The sequence below is a fragment of the Homo sapiens genome, chromosome 21 (genome assembly GCF_000001405.40).
Source record: "Homo sapiens chromosome 21, GRCh38.p14 Primary Assembly".
In the NCBI taxonomy this organism is placed as follows: Eukaryota; Metazoa; Chordata; class Mammalia; order Primates; family Hominidae; genus Homo; species Homo sapiens.
Genome location: NC_000021.9, coordinates 33,415,506 through 33,436,134, shown reverse-complemented (window position 1 = coordinate 33,436,134; position 20,629 = coordinate 33,415,506). Strand labels below are relative to the sequence as shown.

General features: G+C 46.7%; 2 protein-coding genes across 4 annotated transcripts in view; one reads left to right on the top strand and one right to left on the bottom strand.

Moving 5' to 3' along the window:
* The window catches only part of TMEM50B (transmembrane protein 50B), a 47,489-nt gene extending 43,840 nt beyond the window's left edge, over window positions 1–3,649 (top strand). For both annotated transcript variants that reach the window (NR_040016.2, XM_011529746.3), the window contains one exon: window positions 3,333–3,649. The gene's annotated coding sequence lies outside the window, so the exon portion shown is untranslated. The remainder of the gene's footprint in view (window positions 1–3,332) is intronic.
* Window positions 1–20,629, bottom strand: part of IFNGR2 (interferon gamma receptor 2) — a 34,635-nt gene that overhangs the window by 1,382 nt on the left and 12,624 nt on the right. For both annotated transcript variants that reach the window (NM_001329128.2, NM_005534.4), the window contains 4 exons: window positions 14,450–14,655; window positions 9,103–9,251; window positions 3,799–3,958; window positions 3,264–3,421 (listed from right to left, as the gene is read on the bottom strand). In NM_001329128.2, the coding sequence (NP_001316057.1) occupies window positions 3,264–3,421; window positions 3,799–3,958; window positions 9,103–9,251; window positions 14,450–14,655 (673 nt within the window). The remainder of the gene's footprint in view (window positions 1–3,263; window positions 3,422–3,798; window positions 3,959–9,102; window positions 9,252–14,449; window positions 14,656–20,629) is intronic.

Here is a 20,629-nt window from a genome sequence, read left to right as displayed (position 1 = left end):
CCGCCCGCCTCGGCCTCCCAAAGTGCTGGGATTGCAGGTGTGAGCCACTGCACCCGGCAACAATTTTTTATTGTTGTTGAGTCAGTCTCTTTTTCGCCCAGGCTGGAGTGCAGTGGCGCGATCTCGGCTCACTGCAACTTCCGCCTCCTGGGTTCAAGCAATTCTCCTGCCTCAGCTTCCCAACCAAGTAGCTAGGATTGCAGGCGTGCACCACCACGGCTGGCTAATTTTTTTTTTTTTTTTTTTTTTTTTGAGACGGAGTCTTGCTCTGTTGCCAGGCTGGAGTGCAGTGGCGTGGATCTCAGCTCACTGCAGCCTCCGCCTCCTGGGTTCAAGTGATTCTCCTGCCTCAGCCTCCCAAGTAGCTGGGACTACAGGCGCATGCCACCATGCCTGGGTAATTTTTGTATTTTTAGTAGAGACAGGGTTTCACCCTGTTGGCCAGGATGGTCTCGATCTCCTGACTTCATGATCCACCCACCTCGGCCTCTCAAAGTGCTGGGATTACAGGCATGAGCCACCTCACCCAGCCAACAACTTCTAATAGTTGAATACTCCTTACCCCTCATCTCAGTAATCACTTTAATACTCATCCCAGGGCTGACCATGTTAATATGCTGAGAGTTTAAAAGGGCAAAACTCAGGAAAAGCAAGTTTTGTTTTTTTCTTCTGATTTTCTGATTGGAAGAAAAGCAAGTTCTTCCTTGCAACCCTCAGTGTAGGCCTGTGGGTTATTAATCTTAAGACGTCTCTAAAATTGTAACCTTTCAGTGAAGGAGGGACTGGGGGCTCTTGTTCAGCTGTGATGGGGAAAAAGAGGGCAAGTTCACAAGCATTGGTCTCAGGCACTCCTCCACCCCTCCCCTTGCACCAGCGCACAGCAAGCAGAGAATCTGGGAGCGAGGGCCTTAGGCCTTAACATATAAAGGGGTGTTTCCCAGCGATTAATTTCCCTTTTGCTCCCGCAGGCTTTAGGCTTAGCCATAGATTCACCAAGTTACCAAGAATCTAGTGTCTAGCTCTTGGAAATGCTGAAAGATACTGGAAGACAATAAGCTTGTAGCTGACTGACTGAAAGAGGAACAAAACCAAAACATGTACCCTTGTGAAACCCCAGAATTATAAGTGAAACATGATTCACTGTTCCCATGTAACTCAGAGACCTTTGGCGGATGTTCTTTATGCTTTCCTAGAAAAGTGAACTGACAGGCCTGTGTTTTCTGTTCATGTCTCAGAGGAATGACTCATAGTATATTCATGTACTGGGGCTCAGCTGGTAGTTCTACCAGGAGAGAGAGAGATTATTACTGCAAGTAAGATTCTGAGACCTGTTAGGAGCTGTGATTTTGTGACAATATTAACCAGGGAGGTTCTAGTAGGGAATCTGTATACTGCCTGTGTACCTACAATACATCATGGCAGATGAAGGAACAAGTGACTAGGGTTCTTTCTGAAAGTGCTGCTATGTTTCTGCAGACTTGGACCTTATCTAACCTCTGTTCATCCCACATGTAACTGAGTAACATTCTGCTTCCAACACCTTTACTCTAGGTTTACCCAAGAATAATGTGAAGCCTCCAGAAGCAAATGCTTTTTATTTATTTTATTTTTTTGAGATGGAGTCTTGCTCTGCCACCCAAGCTAAAGTGCTATGGTGCGATATTGGCTTACTGTAACTTCCACCTCCTGGGTTCAAGCAATTCTCCTGCCTCAGCCTCTCATGTAGCTGGGATTACAGGCGCCCACCACCACGCCCGGCTAATTTTTGTATTTTTGGTAGAGACAGGGTTTCACCATGTTGGCCAGGCTGGTCTCGAACTCCTGACCTCAGGTGATCTGCCCACCCTGGCCTCCCCAAGTCCTGGGATTACAGGTGTGGGTCACTGCGCCCGGCTGCAAATGCTTTTTAAATGTTCTTCTCTCAGCTCGCCTCTGATCCCCAAAATGTCCTGACCGTGTCCTCAGAAGGCCCAATGGCCTCACAGAGCCTCAGGGGGCTGGGGTTATGCAGGAAAATAAGACTTTCCACAAGACCCACGCTACTGTTCTTTCTCAAGTCCTTTCAAATATTAGCAATACCCACTGGGCAATGGGTACACGGGGCCTGGCACTCACAGCTCTGGGTGTTGACTCTGCCTTAGGGCCCTCCTAAGCACCCTGTGGGCCCCAAAGCTCAAGCTCCTGATCACTGTCTCCACCGCCTTCACGTCCTCCAGCCAGGCCACTTCCCTGGAGCATTCTCCAGACAGCAGAGGAGACCTGCTGCCTCGGAGAGGGGTCTACTGCAGCCAATCTCCAGGCCAGGCCACCTTTTTAGCCAACCCCATGCCATTAAAAAAAAAAAATTAAATTGTGGTAAAATACACATAACATAAAATGTACCATCATAACTCTTTTTAGGTGTACAGTTCGGTAGTGCCAAGCACATTCACATTGTGCAATCATGACCACCATCCATCTCCAGAACTCTGTACAGCCCCAGAACTGAAACTCTGGCCCCATTCAACACGAACTTCCCACTTCCCTCCCTCCACCACCGCAACCACCATTCTACTTCCTGTCTTTATGGATTTGATGACTCTGGGGACCTCATTTAAGTGGAAGCAGACAGTATCCTTTTGTGACTGCCCTACTCTACTCAGCATAATGTCCTCAAGGTCCATGTGTGTGGTAGGATGTGTCACAATCCCCTTCCTTTCTAAGGCTGAATGATATTCCATTGTATGGAAAGACCATCTATTAAAGATTTATCTATTAATCCTTCAACGACACCGGAGTGCTTCCACCTTTTGGCTGTTGTGAATCGTGTCAACATGAACATGGGTGTACAAACAACCCCATACCATTTGTAACCCAAATCTCTGTGTCCACGGCTTTGCCCACAGCTGCACTCTTAGGGGTTGCCAGGGGCAGTGGGGCCCTGATGTGTCACCATTAAGATGTCTGCGTGGCCGGGCGCAGTGGCTCCCGCCTGTAATCCCAGCACTTTGGGAGGCTGAGGTGGGTGGATCACTTGAGGTCAGGAGTTTGAGACCAGTCTGGCCAACATAGCAAAACCCTGTTTCTACCAAAAATACAAAAATTAGCAGGCCATGGTGGTGAGCACTTGTAATACCAGCTACTCAGGAGGCTGAGGCAGGAGAATCGCTTGAACCTGGGAGATGGAGGCTGCAGTGAGCAGAGATTGTACCATGACACTCCCGCCTGGGCAACAGAGCAAGACCCTGTCTCAAAAAAAAAAAAAGAGATGTGTGCACACGTACCTCTTCTATCTGTAATGGGATGCTTGGTGGAGTGTGAAACCAGTATTTAATCAGGCCTCTATATTTCAGGACCAGGAAGAAACAGGCTCCTGCCAGCACCGACAGCAACGAAAATGTTCCCACGGAGATCAGGATGACTTGCTGAAGCTCAGTGGAGGCTAAAAAGAGGACACGAAAGTGAACAGAATGATCTTCCTACGCACAACACAAACATCAGTTAATGTTCCATCCATGCTGCTTAAAGAGCATTCCTGTCCTAGTAAAATGGGCAAGTCCCTCTACCCCCCACCCTCACCTGGTATGCTTACATTAATAGCTAAAGTCAATCCTGTAATGAAATAAAGCAAGTGGTAGCTGTCTGGTAGCCTCCACTACTGCAAATCTCAGCACAAGCTCATTATTCCTGCAGTTCAGCACTCTTCTCACTGGGTCTCCCCACTCCCACCACCCATGACCTCATAAGCATTCCCCGATTTCACTATTGGAGGAGTATTCTTTTCCCAGTTCAGAAAGGACATAAGAAGGTATATTTTACCATCTGCCATTGTTTCGTAGCAAGATATGTTGCTTAAATGCCCGACTCTAAAGATGTTACTTTTGTTCCAAAGCAGTTGTGCCTGGACTTGTAAACAGTACACTCTGGAGGGTTTTAAGTTATCCAATGAAATGGAGTTGCTTCTGAAAGGGCCTTTGACCTGTTTTAAAAACATCACAAGCACACATGTAAATGAACATGGCCAAGCTGCCTACATCTTTTCTGATGTTTCCTCAAATTCACTGTGAACACGACAACCAAAGAAGAACAAGATGCCATTTTTAGTGGGTCACTGGCTGGCAGTGGACACATTTTATGTGTGAAAATTGGTGTGTTGTGTGGCCAAAGAGGCTGATAGCTTTAGAACTGTGTTTCTGGCTGTGAGGTCTCAGAGTGCCCATTGTAGTAACTAGACTTCAGTAAATCCCAATTTCTAGGATAATCTTTTTCTCCTTTAACATTTTGGGCTGGATGGGGTGGCTCACGCCTATAATCCCACCACTTTGGGAGGCCAGGGTGGGTGGATCACCTGAGGTCAGGAGTTAAGAGACCAGCCTGGCCAACATTGCAAAACCCAGTCTCTACTAAAAGTACAAAAATTAGCTGGATGTGGTGGCACACACCTGTAATCCCAGCTACATGGGAGGCTGAGGGAGGAGAATCACTTGGACCAGGAGGCAGAGGGTGCAGTGAGCTGAGATTGCGCCAGCCTGGATGAAGAGCAAGACTCCATCTCAAAACAAACATTTTGTATTTCTTTTTTTTTTTGAGATGGAGTTTCGCTCTGTCACCAGGCTGGACCGCAATGGTGCGACCTCGGCTCACTGCAACCTCCGCCTCCCAGGTTCAAGCAATTCTCCTGCCTCCAACTCCTGAGTAGTTGGGATTATAGACACCCACCATCATGTCTGGCTCATTTTTGTATTTTTAGTAGAAACAGGGTTTCACCATGTTGCCCAGGCTGGTCTCGAGCTCCTGATCTCAGGTGATCCACCTGCCTCGGCCTCCCAAAGTGCTGGGATTATAGGCGTGAGCCACCGCGCCTGGCCAACATTTTGTATCTCACGGTTAATCTAGATACCTCAAGTTAGTCAACAGAGAAAAAATTATTCTGGGAAATAATGTTCCTTTCATTCCCAACCTGCTTCTAGTTTGACCGAAATGTGCTTGAGCCTCCTATAGTTTCAGCTAAAATGACCTTAAGGATTTATGTCATCAGGAGACAACTGGACCCTAGACTCTAGGAAGGTTCTGTGTCTCCTCTGCGCATCCCTCTGCTGCCTTGAGCAGGCCTTGCTGCCTCCCCACCTGGTCTTCCAGGCAATGGCTCCTGTTGTCCTGGCAAGGCTGTCATTGTCCCATACCAAAGTGGAAAACAGCGATACCCTATTATGGCAGTATAGGGTTTCTTGCAAAGAACTGTTTTCTAATTTTGAGATACAATATAATCCACTACAGCCACATGAAATGGTGGTATAACATATGCTTGAAAACATGGGAAGACAAGGCTGCTAAATTGTTAACTGAAAAAAGGCAGATTATTCAAATACAGAACATGTTGTTATTTTTTAAAATACAAAAATAGGCCAGGCATGGTGGCTCATGCCTGTAATTCCAGCACTTTGGGAGGCTGAGGTGGGAGGATCACTTGAGTCCAGGAGTTTGAGCTTGGGTAACATAGTGAGACCCCCTCCCTCCGTCTCTACAGAAAATAATAATAAAAAAATAAGCTGGTCATGGTGGTGCATGCCTATAAGTCCCAGCTACTCGGAAGGCCAAAGTGGGAGGATGGCTTGAGCCTGTGAATTGGAGGCTACAGTGAGCTATGACTGCACCACTGCACTCCAGCCTGGGTGACAGAGTGAAATTGTCTCTGAAAAATTAAAATTAAAAAATAAAAATATAAAAGTAATTGTATGATCTATGAATAATAGTATTACTTGATGGTTTTACATTTTCTTTTCTTCTGTTTAATGGTGTTGGACTGCCAGGGCAGAGGAAGACACGATTTTAAGGACAAAAATTCCCTTTGGGTTTATTTCAGCATTCAATTGGAATTCCTAAAATTTAGAGTCACAGACTGCAGAAGAGCTAACGTAACAGGCCTAACACTAATGCCCTTTGAAGGGCCTGATTTCCAGGTCAACCCTTAGCTGACATCTGGGAATTTGTGTGCGTTTTTTGTTTGTTTGTTTTTTGAGACGGAGTCTTGCTCCGTTGCCCAGGCTGGAGTGCAGTAGTGTGATCTCGACTCACTGCAACCTCTGCCTCCCAGGTTCAAGCAATTCTCCTGCCTCAGCCTCCTGAGTAACTGGGATCACAGGTGCCCACCACCACGCCTGGCTAATTTTTGTATTTTTAGTAGAGATGGGTTTTCACCATGCTAGCCAGGCCTGTCTCGAACCCCTGACCTCAAGTGATCTGCCTGCCTCGGCCTCCCAAAGTGCTGGGATTACAGGCGTAAGCCACCGCGCCCAGCCTGGGAATTTGGATTTCAAGTTTATCCCTCCCATTCCCAAACTGGTAAGGTGGCTTACCGTCCCTACACTGTTTGCACAATGTGTTTTCTTTATGAGGAACATCTGTTTTCCTTCTGGGAGTCGGAATTTTGGCATACGCTACACAGAGGGTGCGTATGTGGCCAGCCCCCAGAAAAAGCCCTGGGCGCTGGGTCTCTCATAAGCCTCCCTGGCAGACAACAGTTCACATGTGCAGTCACAGCTTGCTGGTGGAGCAATGAAGTGTATCCTGCGTGACTCAGCTCAGGAAGGGCTCCTGGAAGCCTACCCCTGGACACCTGCGGACTTTCCTCCATGTGCCTCTTCCCTTTGCCGATTTTGCTTTGCATCCTTTTGCTATAAAAAATCAGAGTATGGGCCAGGCACAGATGTGGAGGCTGAGACAGGAAAATCTCTTGAACCCGTGAGCCGAGATTGTGGCACTGCACTCTACCCTGGGAGACAGAGTGAAATTCTGTCTCAAAACGAAATCAGAGTGTGACTCTGTGCTGAGTCCTGGGAGTCCTTTGAGCGATCTAGGGTGGGTCTTGGGGACCCTAACACACAGACTCACAGCTGGAACAAAGATCACATTGGTGGCTTTCAGAGTCATTTTCATCCTTGAACCTTTTGATCATGGAAGCCAAGTACAGATGCTCTGGTCAAATGGAGGAAAGGGACTTGGGGGCCCTCACGGCTGCTCCTCTTCACAGGCTCCAGCTTATAGCTCAGTTGTTTCATTTTATACACGAGGAAGCTGCAGCCCAGAGAGGCTAAGTGACATGGTGCTAAGCGGGTCCCAGGCAGTGGAAGCCTGTTCTGTGTGCTCTTCATTAGAGCTTGCTGCTCAACAAGGCTGGCCCCAGGGTCCTGGAGCTGAGTTCTCCAGTGCTGGGCAGCCCTGCCCAGCTCTAGGATACAAGTGGCAACTCGCCCTCTGGGGGCTGACTCAGTGCAGAGAAGTGGATGGACTCCATCCTAAAAAAACAAAAGTATGGGCGGGCCCTTGGGGAGGGAGCATGGCAACACGGTGCCCTCGAGTGAAGAAAGCAACCAAAGGGTGGAGAAAAGCGTGGCCAGAGGGCCCATCCTATCTCTTGCATTTCCGGCACCGTATCCAGTTGGAGAGGACAGACTTGGAAGAGGCAGAGTCTCTCTTCTGGATTCTGCCAGGCTCCCTCTATTCTAATCGACCCAGATCTTGAGCTCTGATATGGAGAAATGATTTTTCCCTATTTCCTAGATGCTAAGTCTGTTTTTCAGTGAGTCTCACTCTTCCCAGTTTCATATTCCCCATAATGAAATGAAGAGGAGGCTGGGAACGGGCTCATGCCTGTAACCTCAGCACTTTTGGAGACTGAGGTGGGCAGATCGCTTGAGACCAGGAGTTCGAGACCAGCCTGGGCAACATGGCAAAACCCCATCTCTATAAAAAAAAATTTAAAAATATTAGCCAGGTGTGGTTGGCACAGGCCTGTAGTTCCAGCTACTCGGGTGGCTGAAGTGGGTGGACTGCTTGAGCCGGGGAGGTAGAGGTTGCAGTGAGCCAAGATGGTACCACAGTACTCTAGCCTGGGCGACAGTGAGACTGTCTCAAAAAAAGAACAATAATTAAAAAAAAAAAAAAAATGAAGGAGAAGTGCAGATACAAAGCGTGTGGCAGAAAAAGATGGTGGTCAAGAGCAGGGCTCTGAAGCTAGGCATCTCTGCTCTGCTCTGCTCTGCCAGTGATTCGCTGCTGACCTGAGGCAAGCCACTTAACGACTTGGATTCTCTCTCTGCAAACGGATTAGTATAAAGATGAAATGGGCCGGGCACGGTGGCTCATGCCTGTAATCCCAGCACTTTGGGTGGCCAAGGTGGGCAGATCACCTGAGGTCAGGAGTCTGAGACCAGCCTGACCAACGTGGTAAAAACCCTGTCTCTACTAAAAATACAAAAACTAGCTGGGCATCAAGAGCGAAACTCCAGCTCAAAAAAAAAAAAAAAAAAAAGATGAAATGAGATGAAGTATCTAAAATTCTGGCCCAGAGCCAAACACAAAGGAAGCTCTCAATAAATGTAAGCTCTTATTATCAAAAACCATCATAATGTTGAATTTAGGAAATCATGAAGTTCCCATAGATAACAGAACCTCCTTAAATGCAGCTAGGATAATTTAGGCACTGGAGATGCTTCAAGACCATGATGCTTTTTCCTATACTCCCCGAGGCTGACCAGGCCGCTCTGATGTCATGCACCTCTGTCAACGTGAGCACCTGCCACAGCCCCTTGTGGATTGCATTTCTGACCAATCTAAGCACCTGCAGTTCTCCACGTATGCCACGCCTTCTCATACCTGCTGGTACTGCTCTCTGGAAAGCTCTTTCTCCCTCTGTTTCCCCCCGATTTCGCATGTGCCCTTTTCACAAACTGTTCAAACATTTATACAGTTAAGCCTTGCAGGCTGTAGTTGTGGATTCCTCATGGAGAACCAGGCCCACTAAAACCTCCTCCAAACTACAGAGCGTGGCAAAGGCATCGTAAGCAGGGCACCGGCAAAGTCTCAACCCCACACAAGGGACACAGAGTGACATCAAAGGATGGCTGGCCCTTCAGATCAGCCTGGCGGAGGGAGGTCTCAGCAAACCGAGTGGAAAAACAGGTCTTGAAGAGGACAATGAAAACAGGCTCAGGGCTCAGCCTCTATGGGGACACGGGGACATGGAGACACCCTGTTCTTGCCCATGTTAAAGGTTTCTTTCTTTTGCTAAGCCAGAAACTGCAAAGAAAAGAAAATCCAAACAAAAAAGAAAGATGCTCTTGCCTGTTGGATTCCTCCTTTTTCCCAGTAATGGACATAATAACAAAAAAAGGCCGTGGAGGTATCAGCGATGTCAAAGGGAGAGGAGAACCTGATGATGAGGGAGCCTTCTCCTGGGGTCACCTCAATGTTTTCTGGAGGCCCGACAGTCACTGAAAAAGAATTACAAAGAGAAAACCACACACATACACATATGTATTATAGATATAATACAATGTATTATATAATGCTATATATATATGTATATATATATATATAGTGGGTGTAGATATATACACACACGTTTTTATCTATCTCTTTATTTATTATTATTTTTTCGAGACAGTTTTGCTCTGTCGCCCAGGCTAGAGTGCAGTTGTGCGATCTCGGCTCACTGCAACCTCCACCTCCCGGGCTCAAGCAATTCTCTTGCATCAGCCTCTCAAGTAGCTGGGATTACAACAGGCGTGTGCCACCATGCCTGGCTAATTTTTATATTTTTAGAAGAAACAGGGTATCATCATGTTGGCCAGGCTGTTCTCGAACTCCTGACCTCGTGATCCGCCCACCTCAGCCTCCCAAAGTGCTGAGATTACAGGTGTGAGCCACCGCGCCTGGCCTATTTATTTATTTATTCATTTTTGAGATGGAATCTCGCACATATCACCCAGGCTGGAGTGCAGTGGTGCAATCTCAACTCACTGCAACCTCCGCCTTCCAGGTTCAAGCGATTCTCCTGCCTCAGCCTCTCATGTAGCTGGGATTACAGGCACACGCCACCATACCCGGCTAATTTTTGTATTTTTAGTAGAGACAGGGTTTCACTATGTTGGCCAGGCTGGTTTCAAACTCCTGACCTCAGGTGATCCGCCTGCCTTGGCCTCCCAAAGTGCTGGGATTACAGGCGTGAGCACCATGCCCATACTATATTTAAACACAATAACTGAGAAGTGTTGCCATGTAAGTCTATTTGTTCAGGCTTTTCATATAATTCACAGGTCAGGCTAGGACTGTGACTCATGATGTGCTATCAATGAGGGGTTATCAAGCATTTATTAAGTAAGCATGCACATTGTATAATTCACCAGAGAAACTCAGATCAAAGTACAGTTTGGGTCCTCGAAGTTCTAAGAGACCAATGTCTGCACATTTTACACAAGGAGACAATCCTGTCACTGTGTGTTCACAACAGCAGGGCTGGATTCTCTCCCCTGGGCACTCCAGGTTGGTGAGGGTTAGGTGTATGATCTGGCCAAGCTTCTCTCTGTGCAAAAGAACTGCTGAGTTTGTAGTTGTGCCCCCTCATTTGTTCTGGTGGAGGTGCTAAGTCCAGACAACTCCCAGTGGCAGAAGTGAGGTCAGGCCTGGCCCACCACCAGCCATAGTGATGTTTGTGGATTGACTGCTAGTGACAAAATGCTCTTCCACTCAGCCTGCCCAGGGACACCAGCACACACGTTCTCCAGCTTCCCTTGTCCCAGCTAAGTGAGCAGAGTGTGCAGAAGTGCGTTGCAGAAGCACCTGCAGGGACTGGCTTTGGACACATTCTTTGGGCATCTCCATTAGCACATGGGAGTGTGGACACCAGCCACAGCTGGCCACTGCACGGCTGAAAACACAGGGCTCAGACCTGCCCTTCTGAAGAGAGTCCTGGCCCGGAATCTGACATGAACCCAGTAAACCTCATCTAGAGGCGAGAACAATCTGCCTCCTCTCACAGCACTGGAGGAAGGCTGGCTCTAGGGAACACTGGACGACAATGTGTGGAGTCTCCAGGTAAATGGCCTTTCCACGAAGCCTCTCACGATCAGTGTCACTGCCAAATAAGGGTATCACGGGATGGGCATGGTGGCTCATACCTGTAATCCCAGCACTTTGGGAGGCTGAGGTGGGCAGATCACTTGAGGTCAGGAGTTCAAGACCAGTCTGGCCAACATGGAGAAATGCCGTTTCTACTAAAAATACAAAAATTAGCTGGGCATGGTGGGGCATGGTGGTGCATGCCAGTAATCCCAGCTACTCAGGAGGCTGAGGCAGGAGAATCGCTTGAACCTGAGAGGCAGAGGTTGCAGTGAGCCGAGATCGGGCCACTGCACTCCAGCCCGGGTGACAAGAGTGAAACTCCATCTCACAAAAACAAAACCAAAATTAACTGGGGTGTGGTGGCCCATGCCAGTAATCCTAGCTACTGGGGAGGCTGAGGCACGAGAATCACTTAAACCTGGAGGCGGAGGCTGCAGTGAACTGAGATCGCTCCACTGCACTCCAGCCTGGGCGACAGAGCGAGACTGTCTCAAAAAACAAAACAAAACAAAAAAACAAATAAGGTTATCCCCATTTCTCAGACGAGGAAACGGAAGCCAGGAGGTGACACTACTTGCCCACAGTAACACAGCCAATAAATGGCAGAGTTGGGATATGAACCCAGGTGAGGGTGATGCTAAAGCCTGCCCCCTCCAACCACCATCTCACTCCTCTGCTTGGTAAACCACCTCCATATCCATTACTGATTCTAACGCCACCAGCAGAGGTGAAAGTGGCAGATGTGACATGAGACCACCACTGTGTCAAGCTTTTCAAGCACGAGGGCAGAGAACAGCAGCCCAGCCAGTAACTAACAGAAACATGGGTGCTTGACTCCGGCCGGAAGCGGCAGCTGGCTGGCACCGGACCCACTGTCACGATACATCCTGCTTCTGTTACCTTCTCTTGATCCCTGGGCAGTGGCGGTAAGTATCATTCCTTTTTTTTTTTAAATGACAGAGCCTCGCTCTGTCACCCAGGCTGATGTGCAATGGTGTCATCTTGGCCCACTGCAACCTCCACCTCCCAGGTTCAAGAGATTCTCCTGCCTCAGCCTTCCAAGTAGCTGGGATTACAGTCGTGTGCCATCATACCCGGCTAACTTTTGTATTTTTAGTAGAGATGGGGTTTCACCATGTTGGCCAGACTGGTCTTGAACTCCTGACCACAGATGATCTGCCTGCCTCAGCTTCCCAAAGTGCTGGGATTGCAGGGGTGAGCCACTGCGCCCAGCCATCATTACTTGTTTGCATACTCCTAATTCCCACTTATTTGACACTTTATAGCTCAAATGGAGGGTGGTTTGGCACCCAAGGACAAATGGCTTGTCCACAGCAGACGAGGAGCTGGCAGGATTGCCCTGTCTTCTCTGTTTCTGTCCCTCACAGTACCTAGCACAAACCACTGATTAAAAAAAAAAAAAAATAGAGATGGGGTCTTGCTATATTCCCCAGGCTCATCTTGAACTCCTGAGCTCAAGCGATCCTCCCACCTCAGCCTCCCAATGGGCTAAGATTACAGGCATGATCCTCTCTAAAAAACTTTTTATTGGCCGGGCACGGTGGCTCTCACGCCTGTAATCCTAGCACTTTGGGAGGCTGAGATGGGCGGATCACGAGGTCAGGAGTTAGAGGCCAGCCTGGACAACATGGTGAAATCCCGTCTCTACTAAAAATACAAAAAATTAGACGGGCATAGTGGCGTGCACCTGTAGTCCCAGCTACTTGGGAGGCTCACTTGAACCCGGGAGGGAGAATCACTTGAACCCAGGAGGCAGAGGTTGCAGTGAGCCGAGACTGCACCACTGCACGCCAGCCTGGGCGACAGTGCAAGACTCCACCTCAAAAACAACAACAACAAAAAAAAACTTTTTATTACAGAAAATTTCAAACACATAGAAAGTAGAGAGAAGATAGGCTGGGTGCGGTGGCTCACGCCTGTAATCCCAGCACTTTGGGAGGCCGAGGCGGGCGGATCACAAGGTCAGGAGTTCAAGACCATCCTGGCTAACATGGTGAAACCCCATCTCTACTAAAAATACAAAAAATTAGCCGGGTGTGGTGGCGGGCGCCTGTAGTCCCAGCTACTCGGGAGGCTGAGGCAGGAGAATGGCGTGAACCTGGGAGGTGGAGCTTGCAGTGAGCCAAGATTGCGCCACTGCACTCCAGCCTGGGCAAGAGAGAGAGACTCCGTCTCAAAAAAAAAAAAAAAAAAAAAGTAGAGGGAAGATCATTAACAAACACTCATGTACTAATTACCCAACTGAATCAACTGTCAACTTATGGCCAATTTTGTTTCTTCTATGCCTGGAAGCTTTGTCCTTGTCCCTCCTGTTCTTTGGATTATTTTGCTTTTTTTTTTTTTTTTTTTTTTTTTGAGATGGAGTTTCACTCTTGTTGCCCAGGCTGGAGTGCAATGGTGCAATCTCAGCTCACCACAACCTCTGCCTCCCCGGTTCAAGCGATTCTCCTACCTCAGCTTCCCAAGTAGCTGGGATTACAGGTATGCACCACCACATCCAGCTAATTTTTGTGTTTTTAGTAGAGATGGGGTTTCACCATGTTGGCCAGGCTGGTCTCGAACTCCTGACCTCAAGTGATCTGCCTGCCTCGGCCTCCCAAAGTGCTGGGATTATAGGCGTGAGCCACCGCGCCCAGCAGGAACTCTTTTTATTCCCCCAATTTTTTATTGTGGTAAAATACACATAACATAAACTTTAACATCTTAACCAGACCTCCTCCTCCTTTAAAAATCATAACCAAAACACCATTATAACACTGAAAATAAGTCAACAATAAAATTGTTCATTATATATCAAATATCTAGACGGTGATCACATTTCAATTGTCTTATACATTAGTTTGTCTAAATCAAGATCCATGTAAGTTTCATGCCCTGTGTGTGCATAAACCAGACACGGAAGAAACATCTGGCATGGCTGACTACGTGACAAATGAATTACTGGAGGAACAAATGTAGGAACTGGAATCTGAGGGTTCTTCTGTCTCCTTCCAATATCTGGGGACATATTTGTTCACTCAGTCATTCAACAAATATTTACTGAATACCTACTACATGCCAGGCACCATTCAAGGTGCCTATTCTGCAACACAAAAGAAGTTGCACCAGAATAAGTAAGGGTGATCAGAGAGATATGCTAGCATCCCTTCTAGCATGAGGTTGGCAAACTTTTTCAGTAAAGAGCCACAGTAAATTTAGACTTTGCAGGCTCAACAGCTGCTATTGCAACTACTCTACCATTGTAGTGTGAAAGCAGTCATAGACACAATAAAAGATGGATGTAACTGTGTGTTCCAATAAAACTTTATTTACAAAAACAAGTGGTGGGCCCGATTTGGCCTGCAGGCTGTAGTTGGCCAACCCCTGGTTTAGCAAATCACACTCCCTTAGCATCAGCCTCCAAGGTCAGAGTGTGGGTTTGACTGTCCTACCCATTTGTCTGCTGGTCATTTAGGGTGACAGGCAGGACAGAGGTGTGTGGAGTCGATACCGCAAGTGAAGAAAACCTGGAAAGTATAAAGGAAGTTCTATACTCAAGTTCTCTTACCATTCCGATAGTGTTGAAACCAAGGCATTGTCACCCAGGCAGAATGGAGTGCTCCCAGCTCAGCTCGAAGGCGTAGAGTGACATTGAAATCCATTGGGAAGCCTGCTGAGGGACTGGCGGCAGTGAAGTCACACTCTGTTGCTGTGATCTGTGTACAATTCACCCCTATGGACATGATGTCGGCCGTGAACCATTTACTGTCGGTGCTGGGAAGGAAAAAAGGATTTCAATTCACAGAATTCTCTGTTTCATGTGTAATAGTTTCCCCAGAGCTTTTGTTCAAAACGCAGGTTTATTGAGATACAATTTATATGTACCATACAGTTCCCCCCCGCTTTTTTTTTTTTTTTTTTTGAGATGGAGTTTTGCTCTGTCACCCAGGCTGGAGTGCAGTAGCGCAATCTTGGCTCACAGCAACCTCCACCTCCTGGGTTCAAGTGATTCTTGTGCCTCAGCCTCCCGAGTAGCTGGAACTACAGGTGTGAGCCACCACACCCAGGTAATTTTTGTATTTTTAGTAGAGATGGGGTGTCACCATGTTGGCCAGGCTGGTCTCAAACTCCTGACCTCAAGTGATCCACCTGCCTTGGCCTCCCAATGTGCTGGGATTACAGGCATGCACCATCATGCCTGGTTAATTTTTATATTTTTAGTAGAAACGGGGTTTTACTATGTTGGTCAGGCTGGTCTCAAACTCCTGGCCTCATGTGATCCGCCCACCTCGGCCTCCCAAAGTGCTGAAATTACAAGCGTGAGCCACTGTGCTTGGCTGCTACTGTTATTTTTATTTTTAATTTCTTTGTAGAGTTGGGGGTCTCTCCTTGTTGCCCAGGCTGGTCTTGAACTCCTAGACTCAAGTAATCCTCCTGCCTTGGCCTCCCAAAGTGCTGGGATTACAGGTGTGATCCCTTGTGCCCAGCTGTGGTTTTTAATTGGGTTATTTGTCTTCTAATTGTTGAATTGTAAGAGTTCGTTATCTATTCTGGATACAAGTCCCTTGTCAGATAGATGATTTGCAAATATTTTCTCCCATTCCATCCCATAACTGATTTTAATACTTCAAACTCAGTCTCTGTAGCCTATGTTTTGGGAATGGAACTGTGTTAATACAAACTCCAGTCCTGCTTCCTGCTGGTGCGGAGTTTCTTTCCACCCATAGCTGCCCATTCAAAGAGGATTTGTCTCACCCATATGAAAACCTTGCCAAATACATGGCCACACATCCTTGTGAATGACAGTGCCTTTCCCAGAGTCCCAATGCCACACTCCCACGTGGGACTCTAGTCCCCAGCTCTGACCTCTTTGCCTTAGGTGACAGACTTCAGAAAGGCCAAGGAGGTGGCTGCTGGGAGCCTGAGTAGGGGCAGCGGACAGTATCCCCCTACAACAGCAACTATGGCCCAGAAAGCAAGGCCATGGGAGACAGGAGACGAGACTGGAGACCGCTCTGTATCCCCACGACCACCGGCTTTCACGTACCACACATGCTTCTAACTGTACCTCCGACCCTCTCCAAGATGCATCTTCCGCTTAAGTTGCAAGGGACAAGATGAAAGCCACTTCAAGATGCGTGGCCAGGGCTTCCATGAAGACACCCGCCATAGATACCTACTACTCAGCCCCAGGGTGACAGACCCTAATGGGGAGAGGGATCGCAAACCACGAGCCTCTCCTCTCAGGTCGGGGGTGAGGGGCGTGCTCTGGAAGAGGTGAGTGATTTCTTTTTCAAGGTAGACAGATACCTAAAGACCCTCTAACCGCCCCGCTCCTCCTCCTCCAAGAGCAACATGCACGGCTCTTCCTCAAATGCAGTGCAGGGCCTGCTCCCCCAAACCCCTGCCACTGCCGGGGCTCAGCCTGTCCCTGGGACTCAAGAGCTATGTCCAGCCTTTGTGAGGTCACTCACAAAAACATTAAGTAAGTCCATCCCCTTTGACCCAGCAACCTCTCTTCTAGAAGTGTAAGAAAATAACCAGATATGATTCATGTACGAGGTCATGACTTAGGACAGGCACAAGCTGCCAACTGTCTACGCCCATGACTGGGGAAAAGTTAAATACAACACATGTGATATGTCACATAATGAAACATACAATGTCCACACAGAAATAATTACATGAAAAAATGCTCACATTTAACTACATCAAGTTAAAATAAAAAAGGAAATAGACCCCAGAAGTGTGACCCCAGTCTGGTTTGGTTTACACACACACACACACACACACAATTTTCAAACAAGAGAACGAATTTAGAAAAAAAAGTCTAAAATGAGAATAATGGCTGGGTGCAGTGGCTCACACCTGTAATCCCAGCACTTTGGGAGGCTGAGGCGGGCAGATCACTTCAGGTGAGGAGTTCGAAACCAGCCTAGCTAACATGGTGAAACTGCATCTCTACTAAAAATACAAAAAAATTAGCCAGGCATGGTGGCGGGCGCCTGTAATCCCAGCTACTTGGAAGGCTGAGGCAGGACAATCACTTGAACCCAGGCGGCGGAGGTTTCAGTGAGCTGAGATCACGCCACTGCAGTCCAGCCTGGGCAACAGAGTAAGACTCTGTCTCAAATAAATAAATAAATAAGATAAAATAAAAAGTAAAATAAAATGAGAATAGTGATTATTCTTAGAGTGTAGAACAACAGGTTATTTTATTTTCTTCTACTTTTCTAGATTGTCCAGATTTTCTATAAAGAACATGGATTGCTATTAAAATCAGAAGAAAATGAAAAACAAATGTTTGAGAAGACAGGGCTGGGCAGGTCTGAGAGAGGGGCTGGCAGTAGACCAGGAGGCGTGATCTGGAAGGGGCCTTGCTGCCCGACTGTCTGCATTTTCAAGGAAAACTGACATCAGGATTGGTTTTTTTTCCTGTTATTTATTATTATTTTTTTCTAAGTGAAAAGTCCAGATTTCTTAATGTTGGCAACAAATTGAAGAAAAAAAAAATTAAACACTGGGAGCCAAATAGCCTGCAGCCACTGTCTGCTACCCATGATTTAGACTTGAAATTCTCCCATCAAGTGCTCCATGTAATTTTGGTCTTGATACTCTGTCAAAAAACAAAGGCATCTTCATTTTTAATCATAGCAATGCTTTATTGTAGAGAAACACGGTGGAAATTTAAGTCTCACAAGCCTCAAAACTAATAAAAAGTCCCAAACACATGTTTGTATCTAAAACAAAGTATCTAAAAACAAATGCAAAGGCCCTCTTCCATTATCAAATCTACAAACTGAAAAAGAAAAAGAAATCATCCCCGATTTCACCTTTTTCTAACAGGAATATTCACATGTACCCTAACCTATGTTTCTTTTACTAAAACCAACCTCTAGGCTGGGCGTGATGGCTTACACCTATAATTCCAGCACTTTGGGAGGCTAGGTGGGCGGATCACCTGAGGTCAGGAGTTCGAGACCAGCCTGGCCAACATGGTGAAAAGCTGTCTCTACTAAAAATATAAAAATCAGCCGGGCGTAGTGGTGGGTGCCTGTAATCCCAGCTACTCAGGAGTCTGAGGCAGGAGAATCGCTTGAACCCACGAGGCGGAGGCTGCAGTGAGCCGCAGGTTGCAATGAGCCGAAAGTTGCAGTCAGCTGAGATCACGCCACTGCACTCCAGCCTGGATGACAGAGCGAGACTCTGTCTCAAAATAAATAAATAAATAAATAAAAAATAAAACCAACCTTTATCCCTGAGAAAATATCTATAAAATGCTTTTTGAAAAGAAGACAAAGTGAAACAGGTTAGTTTATCAAATGAAACTCTATCAAAGGTTTTTTTTTTTAATGCAATAACGTTTTATCCCATTTTTAGAAGCATCTCCTCTGAAAATCAGTAAACGTACTTCCTTGTTCAAGGCCAAGGAGCCCATAAATCAGCATCAAGCCTAAGTCAATACATCAGCCGTGACTCTCACAACAAGCTTCTTGTTTAGCTCTAGGGTGTAATGTTTGCTGAATGCTGAGGGTAGGGCCAACTTCCTGACATGTGACCTGTGCGCTCACATCAAGCCCGTTCTCAGAAAGGCACTTCATTTGATGCTCTGCGGTTGCCATCTTGAAATTCTTAATACTTTTTAAATAAAGGGTCTCACATTTTCATTTTGCACTGGGTCTTGCAAATTGTGTAGCCTGCTCTGGTGGATTGCTCCATTAATTACAGGTAACTTAATGTTCGTAATTTATAACTACTGGAGGAACAGATCAATGTGATTTAGAGATAACTCTCAAACCTCAGTTTAGCACCTGTTTCTATTAAGCAAATACTGTTACAACGGACATTTAAAAACAAATAAGAAACGCCAGTGTGATGGCTCATGTCTGTAATCCCAGCACTTTGGGAGGTTGAGGTGGGTGGATCACTTGAGCCCAGGAGTTCGAGGCCAGCCTGGGCAACATGGCAAAACCCCATCTCTTCAAAAAATTAAAAATTAGCTGGGTACAGCAGTGTGCGCCCATAGTCCCAGCTACTTGGGAGGCTGAAGTAGGAGGATCTCTTGAGCCAGGAAATTGTGGCTGCATTGAGCCATGATCATGCCACTGCACTCCAGCCTGGGGGGCAGAGTGAGACCTTGTCTCAGAAAAAAAAAAAAGAAGTTATCTGAACCGGGTGGGGTGGTGCACACTTGTAATCCCAGCTACACAGAAGGCTGAGGTATAAGAATTGCTTGAACCTGGGAGGCGGAGGTCCAGTGAGCCAAGATCGTGCCACTGCATTTCAGCCTGGGTGACGGAGACTTTGTCTCAAAAAAAAAAAAAAAAAGAAAAAGAAAAAGAAAAACAAGTTACCTGGAAACCTACTCCTCTAACAAATCAATTGCCTGTCATTTTTCCACATTACTTTTCTATTCTTTTTTTTTTTTTTTTGAGATGGAGTCTCGCTCTGTCGCCCAGCCTGGAGTGCAGTGGCACGATCTCGGTTCACTGCAAGCTCTGCCTCCCGGGTTCACGCCATTCTCCTGCCTCAGCCTCCCAAGTAGCTGGGACTACAGGCGCCCGCCACTACACCCAGCTAATTTTTTGTATTTTTAGTAGAGACAGGGTTTCAGCGTGTTAGCCAGGATGGTCTCGATCTCCTCACCGCGTGATCCGCCCGTCTTGGCCTCCCAAAGTGCTGGGATTACAGGCGTGAGCCACCATGCCTGGCCTACTTTTCTATTCTTTTACAGGTGTGAGCCACCATGATCGGCCCCTTTCTATTCTTGACAATAAATACATACCACTTGCAACTTTTCAGTATAAAAGTGAATAAAAAATTTTTTTAAGTAACAAAAATAAGAAATAAAAAATACAAATACATGCCAAAGTTTACAGAGTTGCAATTTCTACCAGATGACATCTAATTATCCTTTCTATTGGCTGTCTGTGGTTTAGTGTTCAAGCGTAAGTTAGCAGGCTAAAATTGGTCACTTTCCTACTGATGGATATGAATATACACTTCCATGTATCTCTTCATGATTATAGTTTTTGTCTCTCTTTTTTTTGATGGGGGGTTGAATTATCTGTGTAGGATAAAACTACTATGAAGGCTGGGCACGGTGGCTCATGCCTGCAATCCCAGCACTTTGGGAGGCCCAGGCGGGCAAATCACTTGAGGATGGGGCCAGGAATTTGAGACCAGCCTGGCCAACATGGCAAAACCCCATCTCTACTAAAAATATACCTATTAGCCAGCCATGGTAGCTCATGCCTGTAGTCCCAGCTACTCAGGAGGCATGAGAATCACTTGAACCCAGGAGGTGGAAGTTGCAGTGAGCTGAGATCATGCCATTGCCCTCCAGCCTGGGCGATAGAGGGAAACTCTGTTTCAAAACAACAACAACAAACAGACACACATGCACACGTGCACACACACACACACATTGGAAAACTACTATGGACATTTCCATGACTTCAAATGTCTGGTAGAATTCCTCTTTGAAAGGGCTATGCTAATTGATTCTGCAAACAGCATCAGGTGAACACATATGAACCAGTCCCATCTCACAAGCACTGGACATCATCATGTCTTTACATTTGGTTTACCAAATAGTACAAAATGACTTAGCCAATAACTTCACCTTACTCTTCAATTAACCTACTTAACAACGTAAACAAAAAATAACAAAGGATGTGGACTTTGCCCTCTTTCTATATGTATTTATATTGCAAATCAAGTGATGGCCAATTCTGCAAAAGCTTGA